Genomic DNA, 8,055 nt, shown 5'->3' with positions numbered 1-8,055 from the left:
GCACGAAAGAATCATGATTATGAAAGGAAAGGGAGAGACAAGATATTATAGTGAAGAGTGCGGTCCTGGGATTTAGAAGACTTGGGTTTTAGTCCTGGTTGTGCTTAGCAGTCATATGTCCTTGGGTAAATCACTTAACTTCTCTGAACTTCAGTTTTTCTATCTACAAAATAGGGTCTTCTGTGGGCATACAATGGGCTAGGCTAAGCACTTCATATGTGCTATCTAATTTCTTTCTTTCTTTTTTTTTTTGACAGAGTCTCGCTCTGTCACCCAGGCTGGAATGCATTGGCTCCATCTCAGCTCACTGCAACCTCCGCTTCCCGGGTTCAAGTGATTCTCCTGCCTCAGCCTCCTGAGTAGCTGGGATTACAGGTATGTACCACCATGCCTGGCTAAGTTTTGTATTTTTAGTAGAGATGGGGTTTCACCATGTTGGTCAGGCTGGGCTCGAACTTCTGACCTCATGTGATCCGCCCGCCTTGGCCTCCCAAAGTGCTGGGATTACAGGCATGAACCACCGCACCTAGCCAATGCTATCTAATGTAACCCTCTCAATTATGAGGTAGGTACTATTATTATTATTACTCTTATTACTCAGATGAAGAAACTGAAGCATGTAGAAAGTTGGTAACTTTCCTGAGTCACTGACAGGGGCAGAATTTGGACATAGACAGCCTAAGACTGGTGTGTGAAACCACTATATACATACCACAGGACTACCATACCATAGAACCACTCTAGAGAGATGATCCTTGGCTTGCTTACGTGAGTGTGGTATGAATAAGATAATATTTGTGAAAAGTGTTCTATAAAATAAAAACCCACAGGATGTAAGGGAATGTAGTTTTTAATTTATTACTAAAAGCCTCCTGCTGTGGTTTGAATGATGGCATTCTTTATAAACGCACATTGAAAATTAATCCCCATTGTGGTGGTATTAAGAGGTGGGGCTTTTGGGATGTGATTAAATCAAATCCCTCATGAATGGTTTGGTGCCTTATGAAAGGGCTGGAGGGAAGTAGCATAGGCCCTTTTTGCCCTTCCGTCTCTTTGCCATGTGAGGACACAGTGTTCAAGGTGCCATCTTGGAGGCAGAGACCAGGCCCTCAACAGACACTAAATCTGCAACTTCTTGATCTCGGACTTCCCAGCCTCGAGGACTGTGAGAAACACATTTCTATTACTTATAAATTACTCAGTCTCAGGTATTTTGTTACCGTAGCAAAAACGAACTAAGACATCTTAATGTTAGATGTGGAGAGTGTCTATCCAAGATTGTAGACTCAAGCAGCTATGAGGCTACTTCACCGAGTGGGTATATTGGTTTGCTAGGGCTTTTGCAACAAAGCACCACAAACTGGGTGACTTAGAACAGCTAAATTTCATTACCTCTGTTCTGGAGGCCAGAAATTTGAAATCAAGGAGTTGGCGGGGCCGTGCTCCCTCTGAAGGCTGAGGATATAATAAGACATCTTTCCTAACTTTCTGGGAGCCTCAGGCATTCCTTGGCTGTAGATGGCCACCTTCTCCCTGTGTCTCATCACAATGTCTTCTCGTTGTACCAGTCATATTTCCCCCTTTTATAATGACACCAATCACGCTGGATAAGGATGTACCTCATCTTATCTTGATAATCTGTGAAGACTCTATTTCCAAATAAGATCACATTTACAGATATTGGGGATTAAGGGGTCAATACTTAATGGAGGCACAATTCAACCCAAAACACTGGTAAACATGGGATGCAATTTGGAGTCAGACACACCAGTGTTCAAATCCAACCTCCACCATTTCCTAATGCAAGGTGACTATTAGTTTCCTATTGCGACTGTAACAAATTATACACATACAGTGGCTTAAAACATCAAGAAATTCAGTGTCTTACAGTTCTAGGTGTTCTACTGGGCTGAAATCAAGGTGTCAGAAGAGATGTATTCCTTATGGAGGTTCTAACGGAGAATCTTGTTTCCTTGCCTTTTCCAGCCTTTTGAGGCCACCTGCATTTCTTGGCTCCTGGTCCCTTTCTCTATCTTCAGAGCCAGCAGTGTAATACCTTCAAATCTCTCTCTGAATTTGACTCTGACCTTCTTCCCTCTTTTGTCTCTCTTCCTCCCTCTTCTATCTTTTAAGGATCCTTATGATTACATTGGGCCCACCTGTATAATATAGTATAATATTCCCATGTCAAGAGGCTAAATATAATCACATCTGCAAAGTCTTTTTGCCATGTAAGAAACATATTTATAGGTTCCAGGGATTAGGACTTGGACATTTTTGGGGGGAATTATTCTTCCTACCACAGTGACTGTCCTAAGCCCCCTCTGTAAATCAGAAAACTTAGTGTTGTTATTTCAAAGTGTTGTTGAAAAGCCAGGTGCAGTGGCTCATGCCTGTAATCCCAGCACTTTGGGAGGCCTAGGAAGGCAGATCACTTGAGGTCAGGAGTTCGAGATCAGCCTGGCCAACATGGTGAAACCTGTCTCTCCTGAAGATACAAAAATTAGCCAGGCATGGTGGCACGTGCCTGTAGTCCCAGCTACTGGGAAGGCTGAGGCAGGAGAATCGCTTGAACCTGGGAGGTGAAGGTTGCAGTGAGCACAGATGGCACCACTGTACTCCAATCTGGGCAACAGAGTGAGACTCTGTCTCAAAAAAAAAAAAAAAAAAGTGTTGTTAAAATAAGTTATTCTAGGCTGGGCGTGGTGGCTCATGCCTGTAATCCCAGCACTTTGGGAGGCCAAGGTGGGTGGATCACCTGAGGTCAGCAGTTCGAGATCAGCCTGACCAACAAGGTGAAACCCCGTCTCTATTAAAAATACAAAAATTAGCTGGGCATGATGGCAGGCAACTGTAGTCCCAGCTACTCAGGAGTCTGAGACAAGTGAATTGCTTGAACCTGGGAGGCAGAGGTTGCAGTGAGCTGAGATCCTGTGACTTCACTCCAGCCTGGGTAATGGAGTGAGACTCTGTCTCAAAAAAAAAATAAATTAATAAAATAAAATAAGGCATTCTTGTGGAGTACTCAACCCAGTGCCTGGCACAGAGTAACATTTCATTACATGTTACCTGTTAATCATATGACTGGTTTCATCCATGTTATGTTCTTATGGAAAAGTTTCTTTTTAAATCCTTGTAAGTGGTGGGGAAACATATGCAAACATTCCTGATATTTGTATGACTCTAAAGCAGAGCATGGATGTTCTGTTTTCTGAGCAATTGGTAAAGCTACTTGTACCTAATGAGGGTGGTGGGGGTAGCGGGAGGGCTTGAACATCACTGCGTTGTCTACAATTCTGTCTGTTTGGTTCCCTATTTAATCAAGTGGCAATTACCAGAGATCACACTTGGGAAAACAGCCAATTTAATTTGGCGATCTTAATTCAGTTAAATATTACATTTTTAGGTACCTTAATGTTTAAGACATTTTAATGGCCACTGTAACACTTACTCTGTCACCTCCCAATCCCCAGCCTCAATTTAAATCTTTTTAGCGTGTTTAATGTATCTTATATAAGCAGCCTAAAGCCATACTAATGGAATGGAATAATAAAAATCATTGTTTTTTATAACTACAATAACAATATAAATAATTGAAGAATACTTTATAGTTTTACAAAAGGCTTTTTCATAGCCTATCAAATAAATGACTGATTTGATGGTTGCACAAGCATTCTGGTGTGTGGACAGAGATTCTGACACTGGCCCTAGAATCAGACTGACCTACTTTGTAATCCTACTATTGCCCCTTGTGAAGTCTGTGACCCAAGCTTAATCAAGACCTTCCCTGAGCCTCAGTTTCCTCCTGTGTTAAATGCAAACATCAGAGTTTCCTCAGAGGATTGTAGTGAGGATTCAATAAGAAAATACCCATAAACCACTCAGTACAGTGCCCGATGCATCTCAATGACAGATAAACACTCGCTGCCACTATTACCATTGCTACTATTATGGTAAAGAGATATTAACACGAAGGTCTTCCAGTCCCCTAAAATATGTTTTAGGAGACTTTGTTTGAGGGGATGTCTTTCTGTTGTGCTATCTTTCCTAGGAAAGGGCATGCCATTAGTCATTTATTATTTTATAATTTCACAGTTTCAGCTGTGCACTCAAGTTAACAGAGCCTATAGTCCAAAGTGAGGTGCAAAACCACAACTGAGACTTGCAAAAGGAGCTGAGCCAAAACTGGATATTGCCCCACACCCAAGCACTGACCTCCAGCCTCTAGTAGGTTAGAAAGATGGACAAAAAGGTGGGAGTTGTATGGCGAATCTCTCCCGTAAGTTGAAGGGTGGGTTCTTTCACCTCAGGTCCATATTGAGGGGTGTGAGGAAACTACCCAGAGAACCTAGGATGTGTCTCTGGATGTTTGGTGGGCTCCACAGACCAGCACTTGACTCAGCTCCAGAAATCCAGAGTGAAAGAGGCTGTGTGGTTGCTAAGAGAATGGAGTGAAGAAGAGATGTTGCTGCCTTGGCATGGGCTACACTCCCAGTGTTTCTCCAGGCAAAGCAAGTGGGTCCCATGGAGAAGATGGAGGCCACGTCTGAGACAGTGCTGGACATCTTAGATCCTGAGCAAGATGGCAGCCTCCTTAGGGGAGGGGGGGGGTTCCAGGGTTACAGAGCTGAAGTAGGATCCTGAAGTGTCAGGCAGAAGAGAAGAATTTGCCCAAGTCAATGAAACTACAGGAAAAAAAAAAAAAGCCCAGCGATGGGGCGGGGGAGCACGTCTCAGAGGCTCAAGGAGCAGCCGGGGAGAGAACGTGAGGGCGCATGCCCCATCTTCCTGAGAGGAGACCCCTTTTCTTCTCTTATCTCCATACTTTCTGATCCAGAAGGGTAAGAAACCACGATTAACTAGTTTGAGGAGAAAGGATGAACGTGCACGGTGGAGAAAGAGAGGTCAAACACCACTTTCTCCTGGGCAGGCAGCCAGCCTGCTTGGGCCAGCAGTGAGCATGGAGAGGGTGTGAGTGAGAACGGACAAACGGAAAGTTTTATTTATTCCATTGGATAGAAGATAGGCATTTCCGAATCAAGCCTTCTTTGATTACTTGAAAGTATCCAGAAGAGTTATAAAACTTGTTCTAATCGAATCCAGGGACAAGAAAAAGCCAGTCCGGTGGAATGAACTGGAAGGGCCCGTGGGAGAGAGAGCGGAAGCAGCTCCTTGGTCCTGTTTCACGAGCTATGCTGTGCGTCCTAGTGGTTACCTCATTATTCTCACAACAGCCCCAGTAGGTAACTATTATCCTGAGGAATAATAATAACCCTTCCACAGATGAGGTCATCAAAACTCAGAAGGGTAAAGTGTTTGTGCCAAATCCCAGATTGAAAATAAGCGGAGGCTGACTCTGAACCCTGCTTTCCTGACTCTACTTGCTCCACCGGAGCACAGGGCGCCATCATGTGGTCGGAAGGGGTAAGGGCACCAAAATCCACCAGGAGCCCAAAGCATATTCTCAGAAGTCCTGAATTTCTCATCAGGAGCCTTGTGACTGGCTTGTAGAGTGTTACTCTTCATCCTGGGCCCAGATGTGTTTAAATAGGCTATTTTGTGGTAAAATACAGAGCCATAGAACGGCCTTTTCTCCCTTTTCTTTTAGCACAAATATGTTTTACGGGACTTTGAGGGGGTTGTCTTTCTGTTGTGCTATCTTTCCTAGGAAAGGGTGTGCTGTTAGTCATTTATTATTTTATAATAAATCTATTGACTTTATTGCTTTTGTGATCAGGCCATTCTAAGTGGAATTAACTAGAGGAGAACCAAGATGGTGAAGACAGAAATGGCTACAGTGGATCATAGGGTCAGATTCCTTTGGGAGGCCTGAAGGCCCCACTGAGGCTCAATAAAAACGAATGATCTTTCCTTTTTCATGGGAACAAATTGATTTAACTGAGTATGACCATTGTCTGTGTGCTTAGGGGACTCATGATGAGGTTTGTGTGCCTTTTCCCACAGGAAGATTATGGCAGTCCCGTGCTAAGTAGCACTTGTTTGCCCGGGTACTGTGCTTGCTGGCTTGTGTGGAGTTTGTGAAGATCTGCCCCTTAACCCTTTATGCCTGAAGTTGCTATTTTTTGAATTTTTGTAATCAGACCTCGGCCCCGACCTTGAGCAGTAGGATATAAATAAATCCCACATGCTTAGCATTCGGAACACTAGACATAAATGTTAATGACTTAAATGAGGTAGAAATGTTTCTGCCCCAGGGGAGGAAATAAAAGGTACTCCTCCTCACATAAATCTGTTTCCTGGTCATGCCCACCAAATTGGCTGTGGGGTGTGACACCCCTCTGTGTCATCCCCTATGTGTAAGTGATCAGTGTCAGTTTAGGAGGCCATGACTCCCCTTCATTCAACGAATCACTCCTTTGGCCAAGGGCTGGAAGCAGGGGCTGGAAAAGCTAAATATTACATTGCACTATCTTGAATAGTATAACTAAAGGAAAATAAAACCAAAAACAAGATCTCTGACCTGTCTCCTTCTCACTCTCTCTATGTCCTGAGGCTTTTGTCTTGCTGAGATGATACAACTAAAATCAGTTAGGGAGTCATCTCTGATTTTGGCATATCCTAAAACAAACCTTGTCACATCAAGGACGATTGAAGAACAGGAATACGTTTAGCTCAGAAACAAACATAAACTTGGGAAGTCATAAAAGGCCTGTTGGATGAAAGGAGAGTACACTTGTTCTCTGTGACCCCAGAAGACAGATCCAAGGAAGGGAGTTGAGGTCACATGTAAACACACTTGGGTTCAATACAACTGGGCAACGTTTTAGCCATTTAGATATCTCATATCTAGAAGATACTGTGTTCTTTGCGCAACACCACAAAATTTAACCAAATGCTTCTCTCCTTTTGCCTTTTTATGGAGAGACTTTCTCCATGCTCTCCATAAAATAGGTTGTTATGTTACTTCAAAAGGGGTCATAAAGGTTGTGTATGGATGGAATGGAATGTTCTGCATGATGCTTTGGTGGGGGTGGGGGGGTTAAAGTTTGGGCATTCTCCTCTCAGTGGGGTGCAGAAAAGCACAGTTTTTGAAATCAGACTGCTGTTAGTTCCAGCCCTGTCTCTGCTGCTCATAAACTGGGTGATCTTAGGCAAATTATTTAAATGTTCTTTTTTATTTGTAAAATGCAAAAATAAAAATTACCAATATCACAGGATAGTTGTGAAAATTAAATGCTTACCATAGCCTGGCATCTGCTAATAATAACAGACACGTATATAAGAGGCAACCTCAAAAGGCACTCTGTATTTAATTGTTTCAAGTTTACTACCCTTAGAAATATGGATATAACTAAATGGCATGTTCTACAAAACAATATAACATCACAATTACAAATCCAAATCCTGAGTGTTTTTAAAGAAGGGGTTTGATCGTAGGCATTGACAATTTTGAATTTTTCTGTTAATATTGTTTGTTGTTTTTCATTCATTTCTATGGCCACTAGCCTATGCTGGCAAACAAATGATAGTAGACCCTTCCAAATATAAGAAAAACCACTGGGAGAAGACTCAAATTTGATATATTTTTATATGTTCAATTCAATGTCATTATTTTTGGACTCAAATTGGGATTGAACCTCTGTTTGGCTACTTAGTTAGCTTCCTGACTTTGGACAAATTATTCAGCCTCTTTAAACCTGTCTGCTCACCTATCAGAAGAGAATTGTTGTGAGGATTACATTTAATGAGATGATACATGGAAAAGCATAATGGTAATATGTCCTCAAAAACTGATAGCTACTATATTTTTTCCTACAATAACTTTATTCATGATTCAAATTTAGCTATTGAATATCTAGGTTTCGAAGCATAAGCATATCTTAGGTGCACCGTTGGAGGACCACTGGGTCAACAGTAATCACAATGGAGTTTTGGTGTATATGAATTTCCTCTCACTGCAATAATGCATTACCACAAACTTAGTGATTTAGTGCAGATTTATTCTCCTGAAGTCCTGGAGGCTAGAAGTTTAAAATTGGTCTCACTGGACTAAATTCAAGACATTGACAGGGATCATTCCTTCTGGAGGCTCTA

This window comes from Homo sapiens, chromosome 14 (assembly GCF_000001405.40).
Source record: "Homo sapiens chromosome 14, GRCh38.p14 Primary Assembly".
NCBI lineage: Eukaryota > Metazoa > Chordata > Mammalia > Primates > Hominidae > Homo > Homo sapiens.
The sequence above is the reverse complement of the archived record's forward strand: the minus strand, read 5'-3'. Positions refer to the sequence as shown.